This window comes from Homo sapiens, chromosome 7, assembly GCF_000001405.40.
Source record: "Homo sapiens chromosome 7, GRCh38.p14 Primary Assembly".
Classification (NCBI taxonomy): Eukaryota; Metazoa; Chordata; class Mammalia; order Primates; family Hominidae; genus Homo; species Homo sapiens.
The window spans coordinates 88,088,482-88,107,495 of NC_000007.14; the positions used below are offsets into that span (position 1 = coordinate 88,088,482).

Below are 19,014 nucleotides of genomic sequence, written 5' to 3' on the forward strand. Positions count from 1 at the left end.
TTTTCCCCAGTGAATGTGTCAATGACAGGAAAAAAAAAAAAACACTAGTAGAGGACAGCTGTAAGAAATCACTTAGAAAATTTTAAATATAGTGACTGTCAGGACAACAGATGCCTCCCTGGCTAACTTTATAATTCCTGTGAACTTGAACAGCAGTGATAGAAAATTTCTTGCGATCTCAAATTGTATTCAGGATTTCTCATGTCACCTCTTCTAGATTTCCCCGCAAGGACCATACTTCTCAATACTTGAATAACTCGAAAGGTACACAACGTGTTAGAGAAATAATGTTTCTTAAGATATCTTTTAAAATGTATTGTTTGTAAAAACAACAACAATCCAAAATTATATGTGCAATATAACACCGTGGACTCCTTTTGTAAGTGAAATATATTCTCAGTTTGTCATTAGTGACAGAGTTCAGTTTATATACGATATAGGTTATAGTTTAGTGACTGCATTCCATTTCTTTTTTTTTTAATGACAGTACTTATACTTAACATATTCTGTTATGGGACATAGATTTTTTTTCTGAGTCCAGTGCAAATTGAATAGTAAAGAATTGCTTGAATTGTTTCTTTTTTGGCCATGGGAAGCACACAAGTAGCTATTAAACTGTCAAAGTGGCTCATATTTATTGCAACAGAAAAGATGAACACAGGGGTTAATTTGCTTTTGCTTACCCTGGATATAAAATTTCCTTATTGATTCTTAAAACTGCATTACCATACAGAATCTTGGCTCTTTCTATAAGAGTAAGAAGAGTAAGCAATTAAATATATATATAAAAAAAGAAAAAACAGACCTTGGTGTGCAGTAAATTTTGCTGCATGCGTTATTAGTACAGAGCTATCCATACCCTTGCATCAATGATGAATCTTCTGAAGTAGAGACTTGTGTGTTTTTTCAAGTAGGTTTTTAGGTTATCTTTTGTTTTGGATGCAGTCTTTGAGATAAAATGTGAGCAACAGCCACTGTTACCAAGTAATCTATACTAAGGCTTTTTCCTTTACTCTCATTTTCATTTTTCTTTTCCAATAGAGCAACTCAGCAACAGCATTTCTCTTCCAAAGTGCCTTCCTTATTTACAGCTTTCCCTTGCATTTGAGAAACATGCTTTCTGTCTTGAATTCTCACTTCAGTAGCTTCTCCAGAAACTCTTGGATAAGGCTCTTGGATAATACTTAGTCACCTAGACAGTAATTAAGTCACATGATTTAGGAAGATGGCTTTAGAAATGATGTTTTTCCTTTTGAAACAGATCTATTTATAGAAGTTGTCACTTAAGCTCTTAATTTTATCACCAAATTTCAAATCCAAGTTTCAGGCATTTTCCTTGGCTCTGTGGAGATGGGGAGGCTGCTTTCCAAGTAAACAAGCTCAGTGATGTGCATTTTAAGGGCCGGCTGATGGGCAGAGTGTCAACTGAGGGCCTTCAGTCATTGGAGGTCTCCTGCTGCCATGGTAATTGGAATTTCTTTTTTCTAAAAAGAACAGCTATATTGAGGTATAGTTCACATAGCATAAACTGAGGTGAGTTTTGGTCTCCATTTTGTCTGCTAGGGAACATAGATTCTTTAACAGTGTGTGTGTAAATACAGTTGATTAAAATGATCACAAACAATTAATGAAGCAATGATAGGGTTGTTTGGCAGATGTGACTACCTGTATGTTAAAATCTGTTTTTATGTTTTCCTTGCTGCACTTGCTGGGAGATTTAGGTTAAGGACTCTTGCTGTTAAGCTTAAACTCTGAGAGCAGAACTTTTGGTGTGGAACAAAGAGAACCCTCAGGTGCAGGTGTTACAGGTTGTGGCATGAGCATGCAGGTACCTCACATAGGTTCTCTCAGACAGGAGAGGAAATTTTGGATGGTATAGCTATGAACATGGTGTCTTTCTATGCTAATCAGAACCAAGTTAACCACAAATACACAGATTTTAAAATTAGGTGACTTGCAAAAATTTATTTTCAAGACCATTCTCTGAAAAACAGTTTGGCCACGACTTAATGTCAGTTTGACTAGTAATGAAACTAAAATGACTTTAAAAATATTTATCAATACATCTTCATACATGAATATTTAGTTGTTAGCTGTAGGTAGGCTAGCTTTAAACATTATTATATTTTAATGACTCCATTCTCCCCTAATTACTGAAATAAAATGATTTTTTTAAAACCTCAGGATATAAAGATCCTACAAGAATAAGAGCTCAACTTTCTAAAAGTGATTCCATAAGTAGGGTTCACCATATGGTAATTTAATGAGAAATTATTGAATTGAATTTCATGGTGCTTATGGGAAACAATATTAAGATCTTCTGATTTAGAGATGATTCTGTAATTGCAGATAGGGCCAACACAGGAAACCGTGTCCCTTGGTTCCTGTGGGTTTGAGCTGTTGCCCATTTTTAAGTACTTTCATTTTTAAATAGTGAATTGTGTCAGAGGAATACTCATTAATTTTCTCTGTTACTCGTTCAAGAACTGTGATATTCTCACAGAAGTATTTTAAATACTGAACAAAAGTTTATCTGGAAATATTATAGTTTTGATGGTTAGTATATGTAAGTCATAGTGAGCTAGCTTCATTGATTAATAATTACTGTATATTGCTGTCCTGTAGAAAGATTATGCTTTCATATACTGTCTATTAACTCAGGCTCCCTAACTCAGTCTTAGGGGCAAATAACTGCCGCCAGTAATTTACTGTTAGTCATTTGGAAGAGTTAACCTTTTCTCCTTACAAATCCAAACTCATTTTGCTTACTTAAGGCTACTGATGGATTATTCTTTTTAGTTAATGACACTCATCTTAATGGAATTAAAAAATATAATGACTTGTTGTATTTCTGTTTTACATCATTGTCAAAGTCTTGTATTTTTACAAATAAATATTATATATTCCTATAAGTGCTCACTTTAACACCAGGGATTTCCTGTATTATGCAATCTGTATGTCTTTCAATCCTATGATATTCAGATGAGATCAATACTAGTAACTGGATTTAGGATTAATAAAAGTACTGGTAGCAGTTGGAGTAATAGCAAATACTTGTATGGTATTTACTATGTGCTAGATGCCAGTCTAAGTGTTTCACATATGTTAAGTCATTTTATCCCCAAGTAATACCACTGTTATCCTCATTTTGCAGATGAGGAAATGAAGGCACAGAAAGTTTAACTAACTTGCCCAAGAATTTTAAGAAAGGAAGTCTGGCACCAGAATGTGTGCTATAATCTACTGTAGTTTATCCTCCCTATGGAAATAAATGATCATAATAGCAGAGGAATTAGAATGCAAATATTTTAATTACAGCCCTTCTACAATTTACCATTTGTAATTCACCGTCTCTTTTAGTAGTTGTTTTAATAGGCCAGAATTGAAGATGTGTTAGTTCAGGTGAGTCCCAATTATTCCAATATAAAATTTTCTTTATTCCAAAGACCAATGCCTTCTAAAGACTCCCCCACCCCCCGCTTTTTTTAAAAACTATTTCATTTTGGAGTTCATTTTTAGTCCTTCTTTGTTCTTCATAGAAGTTGGATTGTGTATTGTTCAGCACAGGGGAGCACCATCGCTTCAAATCATTATAGTTTGAAATATGTTACTGTCTTGCACATGGCAAACACATGGCTCAGTTTATGCCCATCTTTTGCCTATGTGTAAATTTATCTGCATCTGGAGTAAATGTGAAGTTTTATGGGCAAGAGTAACTAAGCTGAAACATACCATTATCCTGCCAAGAGACTAGAAGATATTTGATTGTATCTCTGCCAAAGAGCTTCAAAATACCCATCCCCCCTACCTCTTTTACCCTCCGTTCCACAACATACACAGCCCGCAAGCAGGAAGAGAGTAAAAGAGCCATACAAATCTAACAAACAAACTGATAAAGTGTTTATTTCCTCCTCACATGTAATATCAGTTATTCCAGATATGTTTCCTAACTTTACATGTAACATCAGTTATTCCAGGTATGTTTCCTAACTTTACTTTTTATCTGCCACTAGGCATCATTTAGTATCTTCTGGATGAGCTTATTGATGTGTGCATTTCCCCCCTGGCAGGCTTATGCAGACATATGCTCCTCTGCCATCTTGTAATCAGTGTGGTTTCAGGAAGGTCTCAGATTTCATGATTTAATTCTCTTTGCATTATAGGAAAAAAATTTGGGGGGATTAAGTAAATTTTGCTTTCTCTTGGGACTGAAGCAAGGTTGCTCTAGGTCCATCATCATGTATAATGCATCAACTGCCTTAATGGCATTGTTAAGATTGCAAGTGGTCTTAACTCTGTATCCTGAGGAAAATATGTTGGCCCATTGCCAGTTTATACAGGTCAGGTGTCTTAGTGCTGGAAGAAAGGAAAAATGAAAAGTGACAGCTGCTGTCAGCATGAGTTCTGTTCCTAAGCTCTGTTTGTAACCTATTTGAGTAGAAAGTCCTTTATTTTCTTTCTGGTATAAGATTTTTTTTCCCCCAGTTAACTATCTAAAGAGTTATTTCATCTGTTAATGTTCAAGATGTTATCTATAAACTTAAAAGACATATTCAGCCATAAGTTTTTTTAAAAATCAAAGTAGCACTAACTGATGATATTTCCATGTATGGAACTAATTAGCTATTTTATAATAGAATTTACTATTTTAATTCTAATTATAGAACTAACCTTTTCATTATAGAATGTCTTTTCCAAATCTACTCTTGCAATTTTTTTGAAACTAGAGTGAACTATTACAGTAATTATAATTGAACAGAAAGTAGTAGAAATACTGTTTTTGATTTTAAACTGGTTTGAAGCAAAAAAAAAAAATCACAAATTATTCCCTTGGTGTTGTCATAAGCTACAATTATTTTCCTATTCATTAATAAAAATACCTTAGTTTCCAGTGAATAAGGTGTGGCCACTATAAAATCAGAAAAGGTAATAAAGACCAGAGAATATATACTATTGGTATTGAGTGGTTTGAGTGTTTACAGCCTTTTTGAAGGAGGATAATTGATCAGTGCTACATTTGATGTTTTTTGTTTTGTTTTGTTTCTTTTTTTCTTTCTTTTTGTTGTTGTTGTTTGTTTGTTTTGAGACAGGGTCTCACTCTATCTCCCAGGCTGGAGTGCAGTGGCGCAGTCTTGGCTCGCTGCAGACTCAGAGTCCCAGGCTCAAGTGATTTTGCCACCTGAGTCCTAAAAGTAGCTGGGACTACAGGTGCATGTCATCATGCCCGGCTAATTTTTGTATTTTTAGTGGAGATGGGGTTTCACCACGTTACCCAGGCTGGTCTCAAATTCAAGTGATCTACCTGCCTCAGTCTCCCAAAGTGTTGAGATTACAGGCATGAGCCACTGCATCTGGCCACATTTGATATTTTATCATAACACTATTTTCTTTGCACCTATGAGGTAGAAAAAGAGCAGATGGACTTGATTTTCCCCATAGCCACTCATAAAAACTCAGGCATGTGGAGTTTAAGTGGCTGGAAAGCTGACATGAGAGATTTACAGTGGAATAGAAAAAAAGCCATAATTCTCAGATACTCAATGTGTGTTCTCAACCCTCATTTATTCAATAGACATGAGTTGAGTGCTTGCCAGGGGCCAGTGACAGGGATATAGCTATAAACAACAGATGATGCATTTCTTGCCCTCATGAAGCTTGTCCTTTAGTAGGAGAGACAGGCATGATGCAGGCAACTACTGAGAACTCTTTGTAAATGATAGAAATGATAAGTGTTGAAAAGAATTACATGTTGCTCTGAGGGCACTTGCTGGGAGACCTGACCTCATCTGGTTGGTCAGGGAAGACTTTCTTGAGGAAATGATATTATTTCCAAAGTTCAAAAAATAACAGGTGAATGAAATGGGAGCAGAACAACTTTTCAGGTAGTCAAATCAGCATGTGCAAAGGCCAGAGGCCTTGATGCAGGATCTTGGTGTGTGAAAGGGGCAGAAAGAAACCAGAGAAGGTGGACAGAATAAGAGGTGGAGCAAGTGCACAGGAAGAAAAGGGATGAAAGTAGGAGGATGGTATTTGACCAGAGCCTCAACTCAGAAGAATCAGGTACAATGTAAAGGAAATCAGACTAACAGTGTTTTTGGACTTCCTACATTGGTCACTTTTTGCCTTCGTTTTCTCTTCTCTTGAAAATCTGGAAATTATTTTCTAACTCTGTGGATGGCAGAGTGGTTGCTTTGGTAATTCTGAGTGGGGTTAATAGGTATTCCACATAGCAATTAGATTTTTGGACAGAGTAAATGCTATTTTCTTGAAGTCCTGCTGTCTTTCTGATTAAATAAAAAAAATAAACTTCTTGAATTGTGTTAACAAATGGTACCCATTTTTTGGTTGTTATTTTTAACTCCAGGACATATCTGTGGTTTGAGGACAGTAAAGCTTAGAGACCATGAATATTGTGAGGGCTAGAAGGACCTAAACTCAAATCCTGACTTTGCCAGTTAATATACGTACGTCCTTAGACAATTTACTTATGCCTCCTATACTTCATTTTCCTCCTCTGTTAAACAAGACAAACATGTAGCTCAGAGCTTTGGGTGTGGGAAATACTCCATAAATATTAGTTCTGATATCATTATTGAGGTAAAGTGGCAATTTGTACAGAATTTCTGGCAAAGTCTTTGGTGGCTTCTACCCATTCTTACTGCTAGTTTCTGATTCCACTCATGACAGGAAGCATGTCAGGATCACCAGCGGCAGTTCTTTACTTCCTGCTTTATAAGACAATTTTCTGTGCCTCTAGACTGTAAATTCCATAAGAAGTTCCTCCAAGAGAAGCACCCACGGGAACTTGTACTATATTCTCAGCATTTAGCATAATATTTGTTCATAGAAGACAATAAGTATCTGCTGAATGAAAAAAATAAGTGAAAGAATTAATCCAGGTATTAGAAAATTGAGTGGTTTCTCCTGTTCACCCAACAGTATGTCAGATGTGTAGGGGAAAGTACAGCCTGGACAGGTCTGGGAACGCATATTATTCCCCCTGCTATCAAAATATGCAGTGAATATAAACAGGAAAAATAAAAACTGATAGCCTTATAATCGGCTTGCCTGATGGTAAGCGCATCCTCCACACAGAGGCTCACATTCATGCGTTTTCTTTCTAAGGTATTTTAGAGCCACGTCTGATCAGTTTTAAATTTTAAGTCACCAAATATCAACAATTGGCCTGCGATAAAAATCTCTATAATCGTGAAATGTTTTAAACATGTTAAAAATTGTATAAAATACCTCAACAGACATCCACGTGTAGATTTAACATAGTTCAGTGTTTTGCTATATTAGCTTTTAAATCTTTTCATGGTTTTAAAATCTACTAATTGTGTATCAGCATGTCTCCTGTTAGTTTTTATTTTTATTCTTGCCTTGACTCTTTTACTTGATCAATCTTGTTAGAATTTTTTGTAAATACTCTCTCCCCACCCGCCCCCCACCCCCCCTTTTTTTAAAGACAGGGTCTCACTCTGTTGCTCAGGCTGGAGTGCAGTGGTGCGATCATAGCTCACTGTAAACTCGAACTCCTAGCAGTACTTCTCCCTCAGTCTCCTGAGTAGCTGGGACTATAGGCATGTGCTGCCACACTAATTTTTTAATTTTTACTTTTAGTAGAGACCAGGTCTCACTATGTTTCCCAGACTGGTCTCGAACTCCTGACCTCAAGCAATCCTCTCGCCTCAGCGTCCCAAAGTGCTGGGATTACAGGCATGAGTCATTGTGCCTGGCTGAAAATACTTTTTTTTTTTTTTCCCCCAAAGAACCAGCTTTACTTTCTTTACCAAAATATATTTTTCAATAATTTCTGCTCTTACTTTTGTAATTTCCTTTTTTCTGCTCTGAAATTTCTGCTTTTCTTTTCATAATTCATTTAGTTAAATATTTAATTTGTTAATTACCAATCTTCTTTTCTATATGCATCTAAGAATTTAAAATTTACTCAAGTACCATTTTAGCAGCATCCTAAAGCTCTGCTACATAGTTTTTTTTTGCTGTTGTCCACACACACATATATATATATTCCATAACTTATACTATGACTTTATATGACTCATAAATTATTTATATTTTTAGAAATAATATAATATTTTAAAAAATTGTATATTTGGTATTTTAAAAATTTCCAAACATATGAACATCTTTGTTGTTGGTTTTAAATTCTATTCCTTTGTGGTAAGTGCAGTGTACAAGATATTGATTCTTTGGAAGTTGGCCTTGTATTTAAAAGAAAAGTAACCTGTGATTTTTTAAAACAGTTTGCAAATCATGGAACAAGAAGGGACTCTGGTGGTTCAACTCCCTTCTTGATTTATGGAAACATAAGTAACAGAAATAGTGAATGATCAGCTTATTCTCATAGAAACACTTGCTGGGAAAAAAAGCACTTTACTTTTTCATGCTTAGCATCACTTTTCATTAGATACAACCTTAAATATTAATTTGCTTTCCATGAAGGATATTGTTTGAGACCTCTTTAGTAATCTGACTCTTTTTACCTGTTAATAAATCCTGGGCTAATCCAAAATCATTTATGCAGAGATAAAAATGACCACTGAATGCTAGTATTAACTGCTTGAGCTTAGCATGTAAGGCTCAAGGTGCAAGAGAGCCTTACATGCTCTCTTGGACGTGCTGCAACCAGAATCTTTTTTTCTTTTCTTTTTTTTTTTTTTTTTTGAGACAGAGTCTCACTCTGTCACCCAGGCTGGAGTACAGTGGCACCATCTCGGCTCACTGCAACCTCCACCTCCCACGTTCAAGCGATTCTTGTGCCTCAGCCTCCCCAGTAGCTGGAATTACAGGTGTGCGCCATTATGCCCGGCTAATTTTTGTATTTTTAGTAGAGACAGGGTTTCACCATGTTAGCCAGGTCTCAAACACCTGACTTCAAGCGACCCACCCGCCTCAGTCTCCCAAAGTTCTAGGATTACAGGCATGAGCCTCTGTGCCTGGCTGCAACAGAATCTTTTAGCGGCCAGAAATTTTCTCTTTATCCTTCCTTCTTCAAAAAAGGAATGGAGGATAGAATTGAAGTGAAACTAAAGGAGGTTATGTTTATGGTAAAAGTGGAGAAAAAACGATTTCCTTTTTTTCCTTACCTTAGACCCTCATATAGTTGTGTTTCCTTAAAAAAAAAAAAAAAGAAAACAACAACAAACATCTTTTTCAGATATGACAAAAGAAAATTCCTCCTGTATTTTAGGAATGCACAAATATGTTTTCTCTTTGTGCAACAATCATCTAGTCAGTTATGTTTTTTCCTGTTACTAGTCAAACATCAACTACAGAATAAGGTTTTAGGTAATTCACAGTCTTTATGCTAAAAAGTCCATATAGAGTAATGCATTTAAATTTTATTATTCATAAAAAGGTACAATGATATAGTGGTTTCCTGGAAAGAGTTATAATTTCATGAGTTTGTAATTATATAGTAATTATATATTATGTGGTCCACATTGATTTTCCATTCTCCCAATTTAGAACTACATCTCAGAGAATCTGATAAGCCCCCTCTCTGCATTACAGTAATCTGTTGCTGAGCATTTTGTGGGAACCTAAAATTTTTAGTAGTCTGATATTTGTTATATTAGTGGGTGTCTAATGATTACTTGACAGCTGCATATTAATTTCTCTCGACTATTCTGTTACAAATAAGCAATTTAGGAAGCTGTGTTTGACTTAGTAAAATGGAATATTAAGTTTGCCATATTGTGTAAAAATAATGATGAGTATTTTAAAATAAAGAGATAGGAAACTAGAATGCTGGTTATAGGTAATTAAGATACAGGTTAATTTTATTAGATGAGTGATGCCATGGTAGACACCTCCAGTTTCTACCACTGAACCAAGCTTCTTAAAAGGAAAATCCCTGGATTGTGAATAAAAATTTACTTGGCTATGTATAAAGAGATGAATTATTTTACTGGTTTGAATAGTGTTCCCCAAAATTCACGACTCCTAGAACCCATGAGTATGACCTTATTTAGAAACAGAATCTTTTCAGTTGTAATCAAGTTAAGAGGAAGTCATGCTAGATTAGGGTGCGCCCTAATCCGATGGTTGGTGTCCTTACCAGAGAAAGGTATAGACATAGAGACACAGAGACAAACACAGAAAGTTATGGCCCCTATATTTTATGGTGTTCACCATCTTTTAATAAGATTAACTCCTTCCTCATCACTTTTATTCCTATCCAGTGGTTTTCTACTGTCTTTCTTTTCCTTTCTTGTGGAAACTTTTGCTACAATAATATTCTTACACATCTTTTCCTCTCCGGTGGTAATCATGTATCTTTTAAATGAAATTATTCTTTTTCATCGGCTCGTTTTATTTCCTTTTAATTTTTTAAGTCCATAATATGCCTAATCCTTTTGGTTTTTAAAATGTTTTTGATTGATACTACAAGATCCTAGTGCTCACCAATGAATGTTGAAATAGTACAGAGATTTTTAATGACTATGTTGTTAGATGCTGTTTGAACATTTGTACCCTGGAATGGAGTGGCAAATATTAATACCCAAAGGTGTTAACCAGTAGTGTATATGAGAGTTAAGTTACCTGTGATAAGATGGGCAGTATGTGCCTTATTTAGCTTTAGCTGATTTTTGTCTTGCAGGAAAATGGAAAAGTGGTAATGGAGTCTTACTCTTAACAGATCTCTTAATTTTTAGGGGAAGATGGAAAATCCAAGTTCAACAACTCTGAAAGTCTGAAATTTTATCCTACTTACAAGTTAATAGGCATTAGCTTGCTGCAGTTTTATCTATGCCGGCAGAAGACAGGAAACTCCTGGGTCAGAGACGAAGGACTTCATTACTCTGGCATTGGCAATAGCCAGAATAGCAACATTTTCTTACCCTGGTATCTTGAGCCTTAATTCCCAGAGGGTAACAGAGGAAAGGGCCGGCTAACCTGAGCACACAGTGCATTGTGTTACAACAAAGAAATTCCGAATTTAGGAAACCTGAATCCTTTATAGTGGGAAGTAAACATGCCTGCCCTTTGCTTTGAAGGGAGATTGTCTCCATCTTCCAAAGCTGTTCCCTATGCAAACATCATTGAAAGGATAGTCCAGAAGAATCTCAGACATTAAGGGGTTCTAGATACTTATTATAGTGAAATATTACTGAGTAATCTTTCAGAATTCATTTCCATATGTAACATTAAATATTACATTTTAATCATTTAAATTAAGCCTGATGATGTAGGGTAGTTGTATTTTTAAGGCTTTTGAAAACCTATAGTGCTAAGTTAAAGTCTAGGAAGTATTCATTTGTATTCTTGGTCTTATACTTTTATATTTCATAGATCCATATACTAACAAAATGAATTTTGAGGATCAACATAGGGTTGCCATTTCTTCTATTTTGCCATATATGAAAACAACCCTCTCAAAACATCTAAATACTATTACTATTGCTACCAATTTTAAAAAAATGAACCTAACCACTAATGCAATATGGCACTATGGATTGGATCCTGGAATGGAAAGAAAAAATTAAAGGAAAAACTGGTGAAGTCTAAATGTTCAGAGTCTAGTAAATGGTAATATACCAATGTCAGTTACTTGGTTTTGACAAATATACTAAAGAAATATAAGATATTAACAATGGGAAAACCTGGGTGATATACTATACTTCTCTATACCATCTTTGCAACTTTTCTGTGTATCAGAATTATTCCAAAATAAGTCTATTTAAAAAAGGAAAACAGTTGATATTTTAAATAATAAAGGTAAGGAAGTAAACATAGAACAAATGACAGTTTTTCAAAAATTAAATACATTTAGCTTTATGAAAAATTAAGTACACTGTACTTATTTTTATTTTTTTGACAGGAACTGATAAAGATTTTGAGATGCATTAGTATAGATTCATGGATTATTGGCATTTGGGAACCATGTGATAGCCTCACTTAATTTTAATTTACTGTAAATGAGAGGAAATAATCTTTTCACTTTTCTTAGCCTTTAGAATCAGATACTTTTAGAATCAATTATACTCTGTACCTGACCAGATATTTAGCCTATGTCCTTTTTGTGAATCCAGTCTGATTCTGTACAGTCACAGGTTATGAGTTTTAATCGGGATAGGTTGGTGGATCATCTTTAACATAAAATTTAGCTTTTTTAAGAATTTCCATTATGCAGCTGGCCCTAAGGAGACTTACTTTGTTATTTGTTTATTTTCTTATTTTAATTTGTATTAGAGATGCGGTCTCACTATGTTGCTCAGACTTGTCTTGAACTCCTGGCCTCAAGTGATCTCCCTCCTTGGCCTTCTAAAGTGGTGGGATTACAGGTGTAAGCCACCATGCCCAGCCTCCCAAGGAGACTTACAACTGGGAAGGTGGAGTAAAGATTGGAGGAGGGCAGGTTCCTGATGTTGATGCCAGTCGAGAGGGAGTTGAGACCAGGCAAGAAATGTGGTTTTGGTAGGAAAGCACCTGGTGGAACAGACTGCAGCCATGCAGCCACCAATGTGTCAGGACAGTGTATACCCTTGGGGGGAATCTAGGATGCAGTAGGGTTCAAGGACAGGCCGTTAGTTCCTGCAAGGTGGTATCAGCTAGAGCAGAGGTTCCCAACTATGGTAGCATATTGGAATCATCTGGGCAGATTTTTAAAATACCCAGGTCCCACCCTCTAGAGATTCTGGCGCAGTTGGTATGGGGTGAGGCTGTGAATTTTTTAAAAGAGCTTCCCATGTGTTACAATATGCTGCCAGGTTGGCAACTACTGTGCTAGGGTGGGGTGAGAAAGGGTCCCACTTGTGGAAGAGGGTGACTGGCATGAGCTTCCCAAACTGCATGGCAGAAGGCTGGTTCTAGGACCAGTGCCCATGGAGGGGGAGAAGGCTATGATTCAGTGAACAGAGCAGGAGAACAAGAGTTGCAGGGGCGGGTGTTTGGATCTGGAGGTGCCTACACTGGCCCTGACCCTTTTAGCATGACCAAACCATTCCTATCTGCCTGTGACTTTCATAGATGTAGCACTGAAATACCAGTATCCTGGGAAACCCCTTTGTCCCAGGCAAACTGGAAGTTTGGTTATTCTAGCCCCTTTGATCCAGGCCAAAGCATCCTGCATGATATCCTATGACCAGCACCAACAAAAATACAGCTCTGCCCTTCCTTGATATTCTTATCTCACCTTTTACCTTCCATTATGTTTCTGATAAAGCCAACTCTTTTTTGGGAAACAAGAAACAGAGTGGAGTACTACATTCTGTATCAGGAAGGGTCAGCTCAGGAACTAGTGTAAGATTTCAGTGAGCTTAGCAGTGAGGAGCTTCAGAATCAGAAACAGGAGTAGTGTAAAGCAGTTGTTCTCAAACTTTAGAATGCAGTAAAATCACCTGAAGGTTTGGCTGAATCACAGGTGGGTAGGCTGCATCCTCCGAGCTTCTGAGGAAGTCTATAGGGAGGCTTGAGAAATTTGCATTTCTAACAAGCTGATGCTTTTGGTCTGCAAACCACTCTTTGAGAACCACTGGTGTAAATAACCTTGACTTTGTAGCAGGCATACCTGGGTGTGGATGATCTCTCTCAGTCTATGGTTTCTCACTTGTAAAAGGGGGGAAATAATACTCACCTCATCAGTCATCATGAACTATCACATAATTCACTAAAAAGGATGTCCAGGATATGGTAGATACTTCCATTCTCTGAAAGATCTTTCTGTATCCTTTGCATGGGGACAGTTTGGTATTGAATATTTTTAGAGTTAACAATTCCAGATTTGATCATCAAAATCATGTAGAGGAACTTTTTACAACTATAAGAAACCTGGGGCCCTACCTCCTTGGAGATTCTGATTCAGCAGGCCTGAGGGAAGGCCCGGGCATCAGTTGGTTTAGAAAGCCTACCATGGTACTTCTGAGAGTCAGTTCTGGGAACTGCTATTTTGAGGAGCATTTCTCTTGTACAAGGGTTCTCAAGCACTGAATTTGTATTCAGTCATTTGGAGGATTTTAAAAGATGCTGATGCCTGGACCCCAGAGATTGTGATTTAGATGGTTGGGAGTAAGTCATGGGCATTGGAATTTAAAAGCTCCCGGGTGATTCTGAAGTGCAACCAAGGTTGAGAACCTCCCCTCTAGGGTATTCCTGGAACAAGAAAAACACGGAGTATTTGTTACAATGCAGATTCTTAGGTCTTACCTCAGAGCTGCCTGCACAAACTCTCTGGGCAAGAGACAGTATCTGCATTATAAATTGATGTCTTGAATTGTTATTCTTAACAAAGTTTGAGAATCACAGCTCAAGGGACATTATAGCATCCCTGAATATTGCCTGACTACACCTCCCTCACCTGTTTATATAGCACTTTACAGTGTACTTTACATTGTTATCTCATGGAATCTCCTGCATATCCTTATGAAACAGCTGGAGTAGATGTTATCTCTAGTTAATTGGTGAGGAATTGGATATTCAGGGAGGTTTTCTCTCCAGTAGCACGTGTGGGTATATAAACATAAATCAGGCAAATGTGCTTCTCTGAAAGGAGACAATAGCCTATTGGAGAAGTAAGACAGAAACAGGCATTCAGGTAGGAAGAGGTTGCAGTATGGTTGAAAAATACTATGAAAATTCAGAGAAGGAGGGGTTAGCAGGAAGTCATTTATGAGAAGGGAATTTGAGAAGGCTATTTGGAGGAGGTGGTTCTGGCCCATTTTAGAGCTGTCAAAGTCTAGTTTCCTTTGAGGAGCTTGATAGAGGGCATGTGACTATGGCTTTACAGCTGTGCTCCAATTGTTTCTCTTTATTAGGTTTTCCTCATTTTATGGCCCAGGCTGTGTAACTTCCTTTGTGTTATCATCTTGTCATATTTATAATAAATTCTATTTTTCCTTTGAGATTTTGCTATCTGTTTAATAAAAATGTGGTATGTCTTTGAATTTTATAAATAAATGATTATTTTGATGTTCCTAGAATAAAAAATTACAATAAATTTTTCTCCCATTAGGAAGATAAACCAATAATAGACATATAAACTATCGTCTTCATTTTTATAGAGGTAGATTTTTTTTAGCTATAACTATGTAGCTAAAAATAAACGTTTGTACTTTTATGGCTATGTTATTAGATCAAGGAGTATGAAGAAAGTTTCAAGGACAATGGATTTATTTCTGGAACAAAAGAGACAATAAGGAATAAAGCTATGACTGGCTGTCTGATAAAGAGCCCAACTCTGATAGGAAAAGCCCAAAAGGCTTTTCTCTTTTCCTGCAACATCTGTCTCAGATTATTGTATATAATACTTACTTCCATATAGCATACTTTTGACTTTTCTTCAAAAGTCATATGAAGACATGGAGAACCTTTATAATTGATAAGATTTGAGAAAGTTGGTTTGTTAGTGGTCTTTACTGAAATAGATAATTTTTAAGTAAAATGCAGTTTATGATTTTCAAATGCAGTGTATATTCTAAAACATGTAAGTGCAAAAAATACAATTATATCTGTCCCATTAGTTATTAAAATTTAAAATACACCTATTCTTTGACCTCCCAGGTCCATGTCTAGTACTCTATCCTGCATATATACTGATAGAAGTGCGCAGGAATATATGAAAGGATGTTTGTTGCAACATTATGACAGCAAAAAAGGAGATTATCTAAATGTCCATTAGTACAGGACTGTTTAAATGAATTCTGGTTCACCCCCGTAATGGAATAGTATGCCATCATTGGAAAAAATACTGTATTGATGTAGAAGGATGCCAAGCTTACCTTAAGAAAAAGAAAGTCAAGTGGCTGAACAGTGTACACAGTATAAAACTATTTGTGAAGTGAAAAGGATATATGGATATATGTGTATGTGTGTATGTATGCATCTACTTGAATGTACATAGACTATTCTTGGCATGGTACACAAAATGTGTCAAAAATGCTTACCATTTAGAAGGCATCTACAGCTTGAATAGTATATGTGAAGGGAGTATTTTTATTCTTCACTATGTACCCTTTCAATTCTTAGAATTTTTGCACCACATGTGTATTATTTTAAAATAACACATAAAATAATTATTTACAAAATAAAATATTAAATTTATATTTAATAATATAGTTTATATAAATTAAGAAAGCCCTTTAACAGCCTAACTCTTGGACTAAAAAACATTTCTAGGCATGTTAAAGGAAATAAAAGCTTCATTACTTCTTAGTTTAAATAATTATTGACTTATGATTAATAGTCCCTGAAAAATATTACAGCACAAAAATGAACTTTCACCATTATTGCTAATAATTACATATACCACCAGTTGAGACCTCAAGATTTGAATTGTAGTAATGCAAATTGAGATTTTTTTTTTCCCCTGGTGTTTATGCCTCTGCTGAAGTGTCATGGAAACATTTAATAATGATTCAACCATATTGAGCTCTTTGCTTCATTTGCCACGTTAGGCTTTTGTGCAGATGCATCCTGATCATCTGCTATTTTTGGCTTGACTCCTATTTTTTTCAAATCAGAGATTAGTGAAATATTGTTTTCCATTATTGAATCATCTATATAACTCTCCCCAATATAATGGAGGAATGCTTTTAAAAAATGAATTATTTGTCCTTTTTATGATTTAATATAACATGTTTCCAGAGTTGCGTTTTTGAAGAAAACTGTAGTAATTTATAAAATAGTATGCTTTGACATTGACATGTATTCTCATGACTATCAATTTCCATTGTTTTCTAGTCTGATACCATAATTCTCGAGAATTTTTTTTGTTTCTACTTCTCTTTATTTATCTTTGTTTCTACTATCTTCATGTGTTACTGTTCACTATGAGGCTCAGACTTCTAAGAGAAGAAGGTCTGATTCGGTTAGTCACTGTCCAATATAAGGAAACACTTATAGACAGAGTTCTGTCTTTATCAGGTCATCTGTTGACTGTTGACCTTTTATGCCTGGCCAACACAAAGCTAGAACTTTGATCTCTGATCCAATCCGATGTATCCAGGAAATCACGGGCATCTAAGTGATAACATCCTCTCATACACTCAGAATCTGATCTGTGGACTGTTCACCAGTCCAACAGCCCAACACACATTATTGTAACTTTTGTTAAATTTACTCTTAGCCCTGATGACAAAGTAGAATACAACACAACAGAATAAAAGAATAAACCAGCCTAGGGGAAAGTTTAGATTTGCCTTGCATAACTCACAGGTTCGAGGTTCAACATTGGGGATAGGACACAGGCCTTGTATCCACATAAAGTTTTCATCCCTACTTGGCAACTCCCCAGGTAGACAACCATAATCTCAGAGATTGTGGTTCCTATGTAGAAGAGGGATAAGAATATTTCTTTGTAGGATTGATATGAAGATTTAGTGTGATTGTGTATGTAAATTGAGTAGAACAGTAACAGACACAGTAATTATAATAGCAGCAAACACTTGTTGAGTACTTCCTATGAGCCAAGCATTACTCTAAACTCTTTATGTCTATTAGCTCATGTAATCCTCATAACAGCCCTATGAGATAATTATCTCCAATTGACAGATGAGAAAATGGAGGCACGGGCAGTCTCTGTAATTTGTTTAAGATTACACAGCTGGTAAGGGAAGGCGCCAATAGCTCACATTGTTAACATCTACACTACACTGGTGCTCCACATGAAGTCAGTGCCCCATGTTCTAGTGTCTAGGACTTGTTTCAGCCCCCAAGACTCTGTGGCCTTCTGGGTTCCATTCCCTGTACAACCCAGATGTGAAGTACCACCCTATCTTCTCCATTAAATGCAACCGCAACCCTCAGTTCATGATGATCAGTGGCTCCCCTGGGAATTTGGAGGTGGTTTAAGGTCCAGGATTGCATTGTGTACCATTTTACCTGCTCTCCACCCCCTCCCCAAAGCTGAGAGTTACCAGCTTCTGTGGGATTATCTCACAAGGAGCAGTAGTCTCAGGCTAGGCTGGTTTCCTTGGAATTTCGGTGAAGAAAATGTCTTCAGTCTGTTACATCTCCATGTCATCCTGTTCTCTCTCCTCCATTTGTGAAACACTGAACATTTTAAGTAGTGTCAGTCCTTAAGTCATACTGTGAAGTAGGTAACATTTGCGCCTTTAAACCACCCATCCTATCGGTCCTTTCTGTTTCACTCTTTCGTATCTCAGTGAGTCAATTTAATTAGAAGCTTTCAGCTACTGAAGAAATAGAAGATTGGTGACAGGATGGAAAGAGGTCATTTAGAGAAGAGCTTCTCGAACTTTAATGTGCATATGAATCATCTAGGGACTTGTTAAAATACAGATTCTCTACAGTAGGTTGGGGGTGGGGCCTGAGATTCTGCATTTTTAACAACCTCCTAGTGATGTCAATGCTGCTTGTCTCTGAACTGCACTCTGAGTAGTAAGTATTTAAAGGTGACATCCTAAGATGGCAGAAGATTTACCTTCTTACCTTTCCAGGCACATTGAATCCAAATAAATGAATCTCTCTTAGTAGAATTTTATTAATGCAATTGGATGCTAAGAAAAACTTCACAATTTAAAACCCCGCCCATAAACTGCTTACCAGTTAAAGCCATTGCTGGTTTCAGAAAAGAATAGTATGAACCTGTTTATCTGGTAATCAATATAAACACTGTAAAAACAAGCATTTCCTCCATCAATATAATTTAGTGACTCTCAAATGATTTATATTCATTTTTACTTAGTTTTATGTAAAAGAGTATTGCTTTGCTGCTGCTCATGATTGAATTTCTTTTTTTTTTTTTTTTTTTTTTTTTGAGACAGGGTCTCTATCGCCCAGGCTGGAGTACAGTGGTGCCATCTCAGCTCACTGCGACCTCCACTTCCCTGGTTCAAGCGATTCTCCTGCCTCAGCCTCCCGAGTAACTGGGATTACAGGCATGCACTACCACATCCAGCTAATTTTGTATTTTTAGAAGAGACAGGGTTTCACCATATTGGCTGGGCTGGTTTGGAACTCCTGACCTCAAGGGATCCACCCACCTCAGTCTCCCAAAGTGCTGGGATTAGAGGCATGAGCCACTGCACC

General features: G+C 36.5%; 1 protein-coding gene across 32 annotated transcripts in view; it reads left to right on the plus strand.

The window, feature by feature from the left end:
- Positions 1-19,014, plus strand: part of ADAM22 (ADAM metallopeptidase domain 22) — a 268,639-nt gene that overhangs the window by 154,231 nt on the left and 95,394 nt on the right. The window lies entirely within an intron of this gene.